The sequence below is a fragment of the Homo sapiens genome, chromosome 7, assembly GCF_000001405.40.
Source record: "Homo sapiens chromosome 7, GRCh38.p14 Primary Assembly".
Lineage (NCBI taxonomy): Eukaryota > Metazoa > Chordata > Mammalia > Primates > Hominidae > Homo > Homo sapiens.
The window spans coordinates 64,369,568-64,386,448 of NC_000007.14; the positions used below are offsets into that span (position 1 = coordinate 64,369,568).

General features: G+C 43.7%; 1 long non-coding RNA gene across 4 annotated transcripts; it reads left to right on the plus strand.

The window, feature by feature from the left end:
• The first annotated feature begins 954 nt into the window (after window positions 1-954).
• Window positions 955-15,762, plus strand: LOC105375321 (uncharacterized). Of its 4 annotated transcripts, none has more exons than XR_007060355.1 (2): window positions 955-2,033; window positions 5,000-15,762. It is a non-coding gene; the product is annotated as an uncharacterized LOC105375321 (long non-coding RNA). The 4 variants fall into 4 exon arrangements; XR_001744931.2 differs by lacking the exon at window positions 955-2,033 and adding an exon at window positions 2,044-2,546; XR_007060353.1 differs by lacking the exon at window positions 955-2,033 and adding an exon at window positions 2,553-4,506.
• The last annotated feature ends 1,119 nt before the right edge of the window (window positions 15,763-16,881 follow it).

Consider the following 16,881-nt stretch of genomic DNA (forward strand, 5'->3'; position numbering starts at 1 on the left):
TTTAATAATCCTGCCTAAGTGTAACCCACAAATGAGATTTGGAAAATTACCTCAGCTGAGCATCTTGGTGATTTGACTCTCCTGTGTTAACAATATCCTCAGGAAGAATTGTAACATGTCTCTGGACTTAACCATCTAGGTTACCTGACTCTCCTCTCCTGCCTGGACCCTGCTTGCACTAGGGATTGTAGCATTTCTAAGCACTGCGTCCAAATAATATGATTCTCTTGCCTGGTCCTTTCAACAGGAGACATTGTGACATATCTCTGGGCCTATCATTTAGGTGATATGAGTCTCCTTTCTGGACACTGCCCACAAGGGGCATTGTGCCATACATCTGGAGGTAACCCCCAAGTTATGCAACTTTTCTGCCAGGAACAGGCCTATATGGAGAATATTGGAAAATTTCAGGCTCAGCATTTATGTTATTTAGCTGTCGTGCCTGTTTCATTACTGTAGAGTAAATTGTGACATACACCTAGGCACAGTTCACAGGCATGATAATGACTCTCATATGTGGATCCCACAAATAGGATTAATTTTGACTCTCATAACTTTCTTTAGAAACACAAGTGATTAAATCTCTTTCTGTTAAAAAAAAAAAAAAGGAAAAGAACAAAGAAGATTATAACAGCCTCAGATATTTTATAAAGCCCTTGGCTTGTACAGAGCGTGTCATAACAACCCAGCAGAAAGGTGAAATAGTGAGTCTCTTTTTTTTTTTTTTTTGAGACGGAGTATTGCTCTGTCGCCCAGGCTGGAGTGCAGTGGCGCGACCTCGGCTCACTGCAAGTTCTGCCTCCTGGGTTCACGCCATTCTCCTGCCTCAGCCTCCCAAGTAGCTGGGACTACAGGTGCTCGCCACCATGCCCGGCTAATTTTTTGTATTTTTTAGTAGAGATGGGGTTTCAGCGTGTTAGCCAGGATGGTCTCAATCTCCTGACCTCGTGATCCGCCCGCCTCGGCCTCCTGTAGTGCTGGGATTATAGGCATGAGCCACCACACCCGGCCAATTGTGAGTCTCATATGCACACCCAGCTGACAGTAAGGACTGTCACCGTCTCACATATATGAAGCCAACTGTCAGTCATGAAAACAGGACATGTGGTATTGTAAATCTTATCCTGGAAATGTTCTGCCATTGTGATTGTCGTATAAATCTTTGCCGAGCACTTGTGTGATTTGACTCTCCAGACTGGGTCCAGCCCACATATGTTATTGTGATCTCTACCTGGGCCAACCTCTAGGTGATGTGACTCTCTTGCCTGGGCCCTGCTTTCAGTAAGAATTGTGACATATCACTAGATCCAGCACCCAGGTCATGTTACATTTTCTCCTGAGCCATGCCCACAGAAATCATTGTGACATATCACTGTGTCAACCACTTAGGTGATGTAATTCTCCTCATTAGAATGGGCCCTGCACCCAGTGGGGGATAGTAACATATGGCTGGGTCAGGCGCACAGGTACACTTTTGCTAGGGTCATGTCCTAAAGAGGGCATTGTGACAAATCTCTGAACCTATCACCTAGGTGATGTTGCTCTCCTGCTTGGGTCCTGCTTACCTGGATAGTGACATATTGCTAGGCCAGGCACACAGATGTTGGTACTCTTTTGCCAGGGCCATGCCTCAAGGAGGACATTGTGACATATCTCTGGGCCTGTCACCTAGGTGATGTGACTCCCTGCTCAAGCCCTGCCCACTTGGAGCATTGTGACATAAGGGTAGAACCTGCACCTTTTTGTTATAATTCTCTTGCCTGGGGCCTGTCCTAAGGGAGCCTTGTGACACATCTCAGGACCCAGCATCAAGATGATGTGGCTCTTCTGCTTGCTTTCACCTCTCATGTTAGATTGTGTTATATACCTAGGGAAGCACCTAGGCGATATGACTCTTCTCTTCTGCCCGAGCCCTGCCTAGTTGGGACATTGGGCCATATATCTGAGCCCGTGTCCTAAGTGACGTGACTCTTTTCTTCTGCCTGAGCCTTTACAATGGGGTGATATGACATATTGCTAAGCCCAATACTTAGGTAATATGACTCTTCTTTTTGTCTCAAACCATGCCCGTGAAAAGGAATTTTGATGTATTGCAGGGCCCAGCACCCAGATGCTGTTCCTCTTCTGCCTGGGTCCTGCATAAGAGAGAATTATAGCATATTGCTGGGCCCCCACCTGATGATATAACTCTCCTGCCTGTGCCAGAGAAGCAGAAGGTGTTTTTACATATCTTGGGCTCATTCTGTAGGTGTTTTTGCTCTCATCATTTGTCTGGGTTTTTTTCCACATTTGGGATTGTGTCATATTGCTGGGTCCAGCACCCAGTTAATGTAACCCTCATTTTTAGACCCTGCTTAGAGAGGGCATTGTGACATATTGCTTGCCACAGCACCTAAGTTGTGCTACCCTCCTGCCACTTTTTTTTTTCTACAAATGGGATTTTGAAATTTACATTGCTTCAGTTCACAGGCATGATGATCAAAGTTAAATTGGAATTCCACCAAGAGTAGATATTTTGCCTCTCATCGCTATGCTTAGGGCAATAGGTAAGGTTATGAGTTGCATATTGTAGAAAGCTCACAGAAGGTTACAACACTAACTCATATTCTGAAAACTCCTTGGGTGGTACACAGAGTTTCATAAGAGGGTCCAGCAAAAGGTTAAGGTCATGACTTTTGATTACACATGCAGGTGAGAGCAAAAGTCACCATCCCACTTTTACAAAGCCCACTGTTGAAGTCCTGAATCTAACAAGTAAATAAAGTACAAAGATAAAATTGTGACTTTCATATGTGGATCTTACTACAGGTGAGATGGTGACTTATTTCTGGACCCAGATCACAGGCATGATAATGGGTCTCCTGTCTGAACCCAGCCTATAAGAGAGATGTTGACTATCATAACGGGGTTTAGGGCAATATGTAAGTTTGCGAGTCAATATGACCATGTAGGCCTCAGAGTGGTTTGCAACTCTTATGCATGTTGTATAAAGCTTTCAGATGTTGTAGAGTGTGTCATACAATGACCCAGAAAACATGTGAGATTGTAACTCTTATATACACACCAAGTTAACAGTTAAAGATGTCACCCTAAGAGATGAGGAGATTGTGTCATATCACTAGGCCTAGTACCCCTGTGTTGAGACTTTTTGGCTTAAACTCTTTCCCACAGGTGCGTTGGGAAATATTGCTGGGTCAGAATCATAATGTTACTCTTCTGCTTGGACCCAGCCAACAGGGGATACTATCACATATCTCTGGGCCTATCAGCTGGGCAATGTCTCTCTCTTGCCAGTGCCCTGCTCACAGGGGACACATATCACTAGATATGGCATGTAGCTAATGTGACTATCCTCCTCTGCCTGGATCCTGCCCACTGAAGAAATTGTGACATACCTCTGAGTGCAAAACCTAGGTGATGTGACTCTCCTCTTTATCCTGGACTCTGCCAGGAGAGGGAATTATAACATTGCTGAGCCTAGCATCTAGGGAATGTGACTATCCACTATTTTTTCAATCCTGCATACAGTGGGCATGATGACATGTTATTTGAGACTGTACCCAACTGATATGACTCTTCTGACTGGGTCCTGTCTATAAAGGAGATTATACTGTATCCCTGGCTCAGCACCCAGATGGTGTAACTCTTCTGTGTTGTCTCTGTCCAAAGGTGAAATTGTGACATATACTTGGATTCAGCTCATATGCACAATCATAACTCCCATACCTAGACCCAGCCAGGGGTGATATTTCGACTCTCATAGCCAGTCTTACGGCCATGGGTAAAGTCCTAGATCTCCCACCTGTAAGAATTTGCAGGAAAGTATGCTGCCCAGGCATGTCATATAAAGCCTGAGTGGTACAAAGAGTGTCATAACAGGCACCAGCAACCAGGTGCTATTGTGACTCTTGGATGCATACCCAGCTGACACGATTATCATTCTCACATATGAAGACAGCCTACAAATGAGGTACTAAATCTCACACACATAAGCAGTCGAAGCTTAAAATTGTTACTCTCATACATGAATCTGATCCACGGGGGGTTTGGTGATGTTTGAACAATGATTTAGCAGACCTGTGGTGCTTTGACTCTCCTACTGGAACACAGTCTTCAAGTGGGATTGGGACTCTTATGCATGGATCTTGCCCATTGTTGAGACTGTGACTCCTGTGCTTCGACCCAACTCATAGGAGGTGTTGACTCTCATACCCGAAGCCAGGACTTGTGTGGCACTAGGAAACTTTTTTCTGAACATTTTCAAGTGTGTGATTGGGAAGTATGACTTTGCCCAGCATCTGAGTGTTTGGACTCTCCTTTCTAGGCCTAGAGCACAGTTGAAATTGTGACATACGGGGACCAAGCACCTAAGCAATGTATAACACCTTCTTTGGCAGTGCGACAAAGGGCACTTTTACATATCACTGGGACCAGCACCCAGCTGATGTGAAATCTTGGCCTGAACTCTGCCTACAGAGCATTGCGGCTTTTATCTAGATTCATCATGTAAGTGATGTGACTTCCTTCTATTGCCTTGGCCCTGCACTTATGGTGCATTGTGACACATAACTGGGTACTGCACCCAGGTGATGTGAGTCTTTTTTGGTGGGGGGGGGGGGGTTCTGTCAATAGGAAGCTTTGTAACATATCACTAGGCTCAGCACCTAGGTGAAGTTTCTTCTCTCTTGCCTTGGCCCTGACCACCAGAGAGATTGTGACATATTGCTGAACCCAGCACCAAGGTGAGGTCACTCTCCTGCCTTTGTTCTGCAGGTAAGGGCCATTGTGACATATATCCAGGCCAATTGCCAAGGTGAAGTTTGACTCCTCTCCTGCCTAAGCCCTGCCCACAGGGGGGGATTTAGATATATCAGTGAAACCAGCATACAGGTGATGTGACTCTTCTTCCAGAGTCCTGCCTACAAGGAGGAATGTGGCATTTCACTGGAACAGCACCCACTCAGCTGATGTGACTTTCCTTTCTTCTCTCTGCCTACAGGTAATATTGTGCCATATACCAGAGACCAGATCAAAGGCCTAATAAGGACTCTTGTACCTGGAGCCAGGACTTGTGCAGGATGGTGACTCTCATCCCTGAACATTTCCACAGGTGTTATTGTGACATATACCTGTGCCCACCTCCTGAGTGATTTAATAATCCTGCCTGTTATAGCCCACAGATGACATATTGACGTATACCTGGGCCAAGAACCTTGGTGATTTGACTCTCATATCTTAACAGTGTCCTCAGAAGGGACCGTCACATATCTCTGGACCCATCATCTAGGTTATGTGACTCTCCTCTCCTACCTGAACCCTGCTTCCAGTGAAGAGTGTAGCATTTCTAAGCACTGCATCCAAATGACATGACTCTCTTGCCTGGGCCCTTTTAACAGGAGTTGTGACATATCTCTAGGCCCATCACTTAGGTGATGCGACTCTCCTTTCCTGCCTGGATGTTCTCCACAAGAGGCATTATGCCATAGAGCTGAGCCTAGCACCCAAGTTTTGTGACTTTTCTGTTAGGGCCCTGCCTACAAAGAGAATATTGGAATATTTCTGGCTTAGGATTTAGGTGATGTGGTTGTCCTGCCTGTTTAATAACTACAGAGGGGATGGTGACACATACCTAGGCACAGCTAACGGGCATGATAATGACTCATATGTGGACCCAGCCAATAGGAGAAATTTTGACTCATAACTAGGTTTAGGGACATGAGTGATGTAAAGGGTCTCCTTCTGGTAAAAAGGTCACAGAAGATTATAACACACACATATTTTATAACACCCTTGGGTTGTATAGAGAGTGTCAGAACAGGGCCTAGCACATGGAGAAAATTGTGAGTCTCATATGCACACCCACCTGACAGTAAGGACTTTCACCATCACAGATGGATGAAGGCAACTGTCCTACATGAAAACAGAACATGTGTGGTATTGTAAATCTAATCCCTAAAATTTTATTTCATCGTGATAGTCATGTGATATAAATTTCATGTGATATAAATCTTTGCCAAGCACCTGTGAGATTTCACTCTTCAGACTGGTTCCAGCCTACATATGGGATTTTGATATCTACCTGGGCCAACCTTGAAGTGTTAAAGAACTCTTCTGCCTGGGCCCTACTCTCAGTAAGAATTGTGACATCACTGGATCCAGCACGCAGCTGCACCATGCCCACAGACATCATCGTGACATATCTCTGTGTCCATCACTTAGAAGATGTAACTCTCCTCTCTGGAAAAGACCCTACACACAGGGCAGAATAGTGACATATTCCTAGGCCAGGCACACAGGTGATGATACTTTTTTGCCAGGCCATGCCCAAAAGAGAACATTTTGACATATCAGAGGGCCTATCATGTAGGTGATATGGCTCTTCTTGGGACCTACCACTTGAATAGTGACATATTGCTAGGCTATGCAAAAAGGTGATGGTACTCTTTTGCCAGGGCCATGCTTTAAGGAAGGCTTTGTGACATATCTCTGGGCCTATCACCTAGGTGATGTGACTTCCTGCTTGGCCCTGCCCACATCGAGCATTGTGACATAAGGGTGGAACCTGCACCTAGGTGATGGAACTCTCTTGCTTGGATCCTTTTCTAAGGGGGACTGGTGAATATCTCTGGACCCAGGACCAGGTGATGTGGCTCTGCAGCCTGGGTTCTGCCCACATATTAAATTGTGACATATACTTAAAGAAGCACCTATATGATATGACTGTCTTCTTCTGCCTGAGCCCTGCCTACTGGTGACATTGGACCATATCTCTGAGCCCCTGACCTAAGTGATGGGACTCTCTTCTGTCTGGGCCTTTACAATGGGAAGATTGTGACATGTTGATGAGCCCAGCACTTCGGTATTGTGACTCTCGTCTTGTTGCTGAACAATGCCCGTGAACAGGACTTTTGCCGTATTTCAGAGCCCAGCACCCAGTTGATGTTACTCTTCTGCATAAACAGGTCATGCATAAAGAGGGAATTATGGCATATTGCTTGGCCCAGCCCCCTAATGATGTGACTCTCCTGCCTGTGCCAGAGCCACAGAAGGTATTTTGGCATATCTTTGGCCCATTTTGTAGGTGTTTTGGCTCTCATCAGTTTGCTGGGTTTCTTCCACGTGTGGTTGTATCATATTGCTGGCTCAAGCCATCAGTTAATGTGAGCCTCTTTCCTAGGCCCTGCCTAGAGAGAGCATTGTGACATATTCCTTGGCAAAGCACCTAAGTGATGTTAACATTCTGCCTAGATTTTTTGCCCACAGATGGGATTATGACATATACCTTGCTTGAGTTCAAAAGCATGATTATCAAGCTTATATTGGGATTCAGCCAATAGGAGATACTTTGCCCCCTACCACTAGGTTTATGTCAATAGGTAAGGTCCTTCATTGCATATTTGTACAAAGCTCACAGAAATTTACAACATTAACTCATATCATAAAAACTTTTTGGGTGGTACAGAGAGTTTCATAACAGGGCCCAGCAAAAAGTTAAGATTGTGACTCTCAACTACACACTCAGGTGAAAGTAAAAGTTGTTACCATCCTACATTTACAAAGCCCATTGTTGAGGTCCTGAATCTAACAAGTGAAGACAGCACAAAGTTGGAATTGTGACTTTCTTAAGTGATTCTGGTCACAGTTGGGATGGTGACTCATTTCTGGACCCAGCTCATAGGCATAATAATGTTCTCATCCCTGAAGCCAACCCAAAGGAGAGATGTTGACTGTCATACCTGGGTTTAGGGTATGTGTCCACCTCATAGGTTATGTAACTCTCCTCTCTGGAATGGGCCCTGCACAAAGGAAGGATAGTGACATATTGCAAGGCCAGGCACAGAGATGAGAGTACTCTTTTGCCAGAGCCATGCCCAAAGCAGGGCATTGTGACATATTTCTGGGCATATCACCTAGGTTATACGACTCTCCTGCTTGGGCCCTGCCAATCTGGAGAGTGACATATTTCTAGGCCAGGCACACAGGTGATGGTACTCTTTTACCAGGGCTATGCTTCATGGAGGACACTGTGACATATCTCTGGGCCTATCACCTAGGTGAAGTGATTCCCTCCTTGGACCCTACCCACATGGAGCATTGTAGCATGAGCAGAGAACCTGTACCCAGGTGATGTAACTCTCTTGGCTGGGTGCTGTCCTAAGAGAGCCTTGTGACCTGTCTCAGGACCCAGCACCCAAATGATGTGGCTCTTCTGCCTGGTCTCTGCCCACATGTTACATTGTGACATATTCCTAGGGAAGCACCTATGTGATATAACTCTCCTTGTCTGCCTGAGTCCTGCCTGCTGGGGACATTGGGACATACCTCTGACCCCATGACCTAGATGATGTGACCCTCTTTTTCTGCCTCAGCCTTCACAATAGGAGGATTTTGACACAATGCTGAGCCCAGCACTCAGAATATGTTACTCTCCTCTTTTTGCTGAACCATGCCCACAAAAAAGGAATTTGGACCTATTGCAGGGCCCAGCATCGAGATGATGTTACTCTTCTGCCTGGGTTCTGCAAAAGAGGAAATTGTGGCATATTGCATATTTCTTGGCCCAGCATTCTTATGATGTGACTCTCCTGCCTGTGCTGGAGCCACCGAATGTATTTTGACATATCTTGGACCCATTATGTAGGTGTTTTGGCTCTTATAACTTGGCTGGGTTTTTCCACGTGAGATGGTGTCATATTGCTGGGTCCAGCACCCAGTTATTGTGGCCCAATTTCCTATACCCTGCCTAGAGAAAGCATTGTGTCATGTTGCTTGGCCCAGCACCTAAGTGATGTTACCCTCCTGCCTAGTTTTTGCCCACAAATGGGATTATGGCATATACCTTACTTCAGTTCACAGGCATGATGATTAAACTTATATTGGGATTCAGCAAATGGGAGATATTTTGCCTCTCATCATTACGCTTAGGGCAATAGGTAAGGTCCTGAGTTGCATATTTGTACCAAGGTCACAGAAGCTTACAATACTAACTTATATTGTATAAAGTCTTTGGTGGTAGAGAGTTTCTTAACAGGGTCCAGCAAAAAGTTCAGATTGGGACTGTCAATTACACACCCAGTTGAAATTAAAAGTTGTCACCATCCCACGTTTACAGTGCCCACTCTTGAGGTCCTGAGTCTAACAAGGGAATACAGCACAAAGTTGGAATTGTGACTCTTATACGTGGATCTGGCCACAGGTGGGATGGTGACGCATTTCTGGACCCGGCCCACAGGCATAATAATAGGTCTTCTCCCTTAACCCTGCCTAAAGGAGAGATGTTGACTATCAAACCTGGGTTTAGGGCAATATGTAAGATTGTGAGTCCATACGAGCATGTGGGCCTCAGAGAGGTCTGCAACTCTCATGCAGGTTTTATAAAGCCCTCAGATGTCATAGAGAGGGTTATACGTTGGCCCAGCACACATGTGAGATTGTGACTCTAATATACACACTCAGCTAAAAGTTAAAGGTGTCACCCTCAAAGATGATGAGATTGTGTCATATCACTGGGCCTAGTACCCAGGTGTTGAGACTTTATTCCTTAAATTCCTTTCCATGGGTGCATTGTTACATATCACTGCGTCAGAATCATATGAATGTGACTCTTCTGCCTGGGCCCTGTCAACAGGGGATATTATCACATATCTCTGGGCCTATGAGCTAGATGATGTGTCTCTCCAGCTTGTGCCCTGGGTTGTATGTATCTCCTTTCTATTCTGGACTCTGCCAAGAGAGGGGATTATTACATATTTATGAGCCCAGCAACTAGGTAGTGTGACTCTTCTCTTTTTCTTAAACCCTTTCTATAATAGGATTGGTGACATACTACTTGAGACTTTACCCAGGTGATGTGACTCTTCTGCCTTGTCCCTGCCCACAGGAGAAATTGTGCCATATACCTGGGTTCAGCTCACATGCACAATAATAACTCTTATACCTGGACCCAGCCAGTAGAGATATTTTGACTCTCATAGCCAATCTTACAGCCAAGGGTAAAATCCTGGTTCTTCCACTTGTATAAAGTTCACAGAGGATTATGACACAGGCATATTATATAAAGCCTGAGTGGTACAAAGAGTGTCATAACAGGGACCAGCAACCAGGTGAGATTGTGACTCTCGGATGCACATCCAGCTGACACGGTTGTCATTCTCACACATAAACAGAGCCTATGTGTGAGGTACTAAATCTCACACACCAAAAGCAGTTGAAGGTTGAAATTGTTACTCTCATACATGGATCTGATCCACAGTAGGTTTCGTGACGTTTGAACTATGATTCAGCACACCTGTGAGGCTGTGACTCTTCTACTGGAACACAATCTTCAACTAGGATTGAGGCTCTTACACATGGATCTTTCCCATTGTTGAAACTGTGACTCCTGTACTTCTACCAAACTCACAGGAGGTGTTGACTCTCATACCCGAAGCCAAGACCTGTGTGGGAGTGTGAAACTTATTTCTTAACCTTTCCAAGTGTGTGACTGGGACATATAACCTTGCCCAGCACCTGAGTGATTTGACTCTCCTTCCTAAACCCAGACCACAGGTGAAATTGTGTGATACGTGGAACAAGCACCTAAGCAATATAAAACTCCTTCTTAGGTTCTACCTACAAAGAGAAATTTTACAAATCACTGGGACCAGCACCCAGGTGATGTGAATTTTGTGCCTGAACCCTGCCTTCAAAGAGCATTGTGGCTTATATATAGATCCATCACGTAAGTGATGTGACTCCCTTCTACTGCCTTGTCCCTGCACTTGTGGTGCATTATGACACATAACTGGGTACTGCACCCAGGTGACATGACTCTCCTTTTTGAGCTCTGCCAACAGGAAGCTTTGTAGCATATCACTTGGCTCAGCACCTAGGTGATGTTTCTCCTCTCTTGCCTGGGCCTTGACCACAGGGGAGATTTTGACATATTGCTCAGCCCAGCACCAATGAGAGGGCACTCTTCTGCCTTGGTACTGCACATAAGAGCCATTGTGTCATATATCTAGGCCAATTGCCTAGGTGAAGTGAGTCCCCCTTCTTGCCTAAGCCCTGTGCAAAGGGGGGACTTAGATATATCACTGAAACCAGCATCCAGGTGATGTGACTCTTCATGGGCAGGAACTTACTTCTTAACCTTTCCAAGTGTGTGACTGGGACATATAACTTTGCCCAGCCCCTGAGTGATTTGACTCTCCTTCCTAAACCCAGACCACAGATGAAATTGTGTGATACGTGGAACAAGCATCTAAGCAATTTAAAACTATGGGCAGGTTCCTGCCCATAAAGAGGTGTTGAGGGAAGTCAGGGACCCCAAACAGAGGGACCGGCTGAAGCCATGGCAGAAGAACATGGATTGTGAAGATTTCATGGACATTTATTAGTTCCCCAAATTAATACTTTTATAATTTCTTATGCCTGTCTTTACTGCAATCTCTAAATTGTAAAGATTTCATGGACACTTATCACTTCCCAATCAATACCCTTGTGATTTCCTATGCCTGTCTTTACTTTAATCTCTTAATCCTGTCAGCTGAGGAGGATATATGTTGCCTCAGGACCCTGTGATAATTGCATTAACTGCACAAATTATAGAGCATGTGTGTTTGAACAATATGAAATCTGGGCACCTTGAAAAAAGGACAGGATAACAAGCAATTGTTCAGGGAATAAGAGAGACAACCTTAAACTCTGACCACCGGTGAGCTGGGTGGAACAGAGCCATATTTCTCTTCTTTCAAAAGCTAATGGGAGAAATATCGCTGAATTCTTTTTCTCAGCAAGGAATATCCCTGGGAAAGAGAATACACGCCTGGGGGTAGGTCTATAGATGGCCCCCAGGGCGTGGCCGTCTTTTATGGTCTGTAGACTGTAGGGGTGAAATAGACCCCAGTCTCCCATAGTGCTCCCAGGCTTACTAGGAATAGGAAATTCCTGCCTAATAAATTTTGGTCAGACCAGTTGCTCTCAAAACCCTGTCTCCTGATAAGATGTTATCAATGACAATGGTACCCAAAACTTCATTAGCAATTTTAATTTTGCCCCAGGTCCTGTGGTCCAGTGATCTCGCCCTGCCTCCATTTGCCTTGTGATATTCTATTACCTTGTGAAGTACTTGATGTCTGTGACCCACACCCTATTCGTATACTCCCTCCCCTTTTGAAAGTCCCTAATAAAAACTTGCTGGTTTTGCGGCTTGTGGGGCATCATGGAACCTACCGACATGTGATGTCTCCCCCGGATGCCCAGCTTTAAAATTTCTCTCTTTCGTACGCTGTCCCTTTATTTCTCAAACTGGCCGACACGTAGGGAAAATAGAAAAGAACCTATGTGACTATCGGGACAGGTTCCCCGATAAAGAGGATTGTGACATCTCACTGGACCCACACCCACCCAGGCAATGTGGTTTTTCTACCTTCTCCCTGCCCACAGGTGATATTGTGCCATATACCTGAGACCAGTCCTCTTATACCTGAAGCCAGGACATGTGCAGAATGGTGACTCTCATCTCTGGACCTTTCCACAGGTGTTTTTGTGACATATACCTTTGCCCAGCTCCTGAGTGATTTAATAACCCTTCCTAGGTCTAGCTCACACATGAGATTTTGATATATACCAGGGCCACACTCCGTAATGATTTGACTCTCCTGTCTTAACAGTGTCCTCAGGGGGGGGATTATAGCATACCTTTATACCCAGCATCTAGGTTACATGATTCTCCTCTCCTGCCTGAACCCTGCTTCCTGTGGAGATTGTAGCATTTTCAAGCACTGCTTTCAAATGATATGACTCTTGCCTGAACCCTGTCCACACAAAGCATTGTGACATACCTCTGGGCCCATCATTTAGGTGATATGAATCCCCTCCCTTGCCTAGACACTGCCCACAAGAGGCATTGTGCCACAGAGCTGGGCCTAGCACTCAAGTTATGTGAATTTTCTGCCAGGGCCTTGCCTACAAGGGTAATAGTGGAATTTTTCTGGCCCAGCATTTAGGTGATGTGGCTGTTCTGTCTGTCTCAAAACCACAGAGGGGATTGTGACATGTACCTAGGCACAGCTCACAGGCATGATAACGACTCTCATATGTGAACCCAGCCAAGTAGGGAAATTTTGACGCTTGTAACTAGGTTTAGGGACAGGAGTGATGTCCTGGATCTTTTTCTGCTAAAAAGTTCACAGAAGCCTACAACACCCACACATATTTTACAAACCTTTTGGATTATACAGACAGTGTCATAACAAAGCCCAACACACAGGTGAAATTTTGAGTCTCATATGCACACCCAGCTGACAGTAAAGACTGTCACTGTCTCACATGAATGAAGCCAACTGTCATACATAAAAACAGGACATGTATGGTATAGTAAATCTCATTCCTGAAATTTTCTGCCAGTGTGATTGTCATATAAGTTTTTGCCAAGTGCTTGTGTAATTTGACTCTCCAGACTAGTTCCAGCCCACATATGGGATTGTGATATTATTTACCTGGGCCAACCTCTACGTGATGTAACTTTTTTTGCTGGCCCCTTCTCTCAGTAAAGATTGTGACATATCACTGCATCTAGCACCCAGGTGATGTTACATTTTTGCCTGCACCATCGTGACAGAAATCATTGTGACATATCACTGTGTCCACCACTTAGGTGATGTAACTCTCCTCTCTTGAATAAGCCCTGCACACAGGGAGAATAATGACATATGTGTAGTCCAGGCAGAGAGATGATGGTACTCTTTTGCCTGGGCCATTCCCCAAGGAGGGTATTGTGACATATCTCTGAGCATATTACCTAGGTGATGTGACACCCTGCTTGGGCCCTGTCCACATGGAGCATTGTGACATAAGGGTGGAACCTGCACTTAGGTGATGTAACTCTCTTGCCTGGGTCTTGTCCTAAGGTAGCTTGTGACATATCGAAGACCCAGCACCCAGGTGATGTGGCTCTTCTGCCTGGTTTCTGCCCACATGTTACATTGTGATATACACCTCGAGAAGCACCTAGGTGATATGATTTTCCTTTTCTGCCTGAGCCCTGCCTATTGGGGACATTGGGACATATCTCTGAGCCCATGACCTAAGTGATGTGACTTTCTTCTTCTGCCTGGGCCTTTACAATGGGGGAATTGTGACATATTGCTGAGTCCAGCACTTAGGTAATGTGACTCTCCTCTTTTCTGAACCATGCCCACAAAAAGGGAATTTTAACATATTGCTGGGCCCAGCACCCAGATGATGTCACTCTTCTGCCTGGGTCCTGCATAAAGAGGGAATTATGACACACTGCTGGCCCCAGCACCCTGATGATGTGACTCTCCTGCATGTGCTGGAGCCACAGAAGGTATTTTGACATATCTTGGGCCCGTTCTGTAGGTGTTTTGTCTTTTATCTCTTGGCTGGGTTTTTTCCACATGTGGAATTGTGTCCTATTGCTAGGTCCAGCACGAAATTAATGTTACCCTCCTTCCTAGGGCCTGCCTAGAGAGGGCATTGTAACATGTTGCTTGGCACAGCACCTAAAGGATATTACCCCCCTGCCTAGTTTTTTGCCCACAAATGGGATTATGACATATACCGCGCTTCCATTCTCAGACTTGACAATTAAGCTTATACTGAGATTCAAACAATAAGAGATATTTGCCTCTCATAGCTAGGCTTAGGGCAATAGGTAAGGTTCTGAGTTGCATATTTGTACAAAGCTCACATAGTTTAAAACATGAATGTGTATTGTATGAACTTTTGGGGTGGTACAGAGAGTTTCATAACAGGGCCCAGCTAAACGTTAAGATTGTGACTTTCACCACCTCTTATGATGGCGCTTGTCTTTCATGTGCATCTGATTCACATCTTTAACAATTGTGTTCAGAGCCCCTGCTTCCTTTCAGACAGAGGGTACAGAAAGTGCATTTCTCCCAGGAGCCCAGGCTTTACTCACCTCCTCTGTGAAGCTAAAGACAAAAGTGCTACAGAGCTCAGAGGCTGCTTTATACAGAGGTTTTATATGCACAAAACTGAGTCTTGGTGTGTGGATTGGTCTAAATTACATTTTGAATTTATTTTCTCTCCCAATACCTGTAAATCTGGTGTTTGTAAAATAATATCTGTGCCTTTTTTGGTGCTGGCCATTCATTCCAGAAAGTTTGTATTGCTTTCCATATGGATTTTCAAGTTGCTACTGATTGCTTTGGGTGCAATGCTCTAACATATGAAGGTGAACTTTTGTGATTGGTGACCTGGTATTGTGTTTTTAACTAACTTCAATTCTCACAGTATTAATCATAATTCCAAGAAGACTATTTTATGATAATATTTATGGACTTTGAAAATCTGACATAAAGTCCCCTGTTTCAGCAGCAAGTAAACATTAATTTTTAAAGGTTAGTGTTTTTAGAAACTTCTGCTAAACAACAATCTGATTATTGTTGTTGGAATATAACCCAGGTATTATTACAGCAGCTGCCCACTGTCAGTTTTGTGATATATAAACATATCTTTATGTAATAATTTTATCTATAACTTTAAGATTTTTTTCTTATATTTTTCTTATTTTTCCAAACAGTGCTGGCATATTTTTGGATATATTACACAAAATGTATGACAAAATTCTAAATATTTAAAAGACCTTGGCTTCCTGACCAGTGTAAATTTGTATTTTTTATCTCCATTTTAAACTGAATTATAAATTTCTGTGTAAAGTTCTGTAATTATTTTTTCAAAAATATTTGCAATGTTTTTGTCAGATAAATAAAAACTAATAGTTTGGGTATCAGATTTCCTTCCTACAGTTTAAGTTTTGTAATGTCCTGTGTAGTAAATAGCATCTTTCTAAAGAATACAATTTGCTGACTTTTACACAAGGATACAGCAATGAAAGCATCACCACATTCCAGATTCAAGATAATAAACACATTCCTCCCTCTCCAAAGTTTTCTCCTCCCTCTTTCTAATTCAGCTGTCCTTCTCCCTCCATTCTATTATTCTTCCCCTGAGCTGCCACTTCATGTAATGGAATCGTACAGGACAGGTATTTTTGTTGTTCTGGATTCTGTAAAGTCAGAAGAATCATTTTCACATTGATCCATATCATTTTAAATGTTAATGGTTTGTTCTTTTTCGTTACTAAGTAAAATTCCTTTGTATAGTCATGTGACAGTGTGTCTATCCTCTACCTTAGAAAGAGACATGAGGCTTAATTTTTCCATTTGGTCTTTGTCCTGAAAACCAAAACCCAGAAAGCAGCCCCTTTGCAAGATTTCTCTGTGTATCCTTGCATTTTGCAATTCCATGATCAATTGACAGGGAAAACGTCCAATTGATATTGTGTTTAAAATTGTTCAAACATATAGAACATAAATAATAATTATTTTGGAACTCTTCTTGAAAGGAAAAATCACTGACATGAGACAAGTGATTTTTGCAATTACCATCAACATTTTATTATAAAAATGTTCATACATAGAGCATTGATTTGTTAACATTTTAATGAACATGACTTAATGCATATCTACCCATCTTTCCATTCCTCCATCCACTCATCACCTCATCTTGTTTTAGATGTATTTCCAACTAAATTGGAGATATCAACATACTTCACACTGAATGGTTTAGCAAGACTAACGTTAACTGAAATTCAGTATTTTTTAATAAAATTTTCTTCTAAGGAACAGTGATATAGAAGAAAATATACAAATCCTAAGTGTGAGTTTACTAACTTTGAAACCAGCACACTCCCACCCCCTTTCAAGATCTACAATATTATGTCACCCCAGAAAGGAAACTGTCTCTCTTCCCAGCCAATCCCTTTCTCATCATAGGTTAATTTTGCTTAATCTAGAATTTCATGTATATAGATGCAGGCCATGCCATAGGTACTCTTTTGTGTCTGCCTTA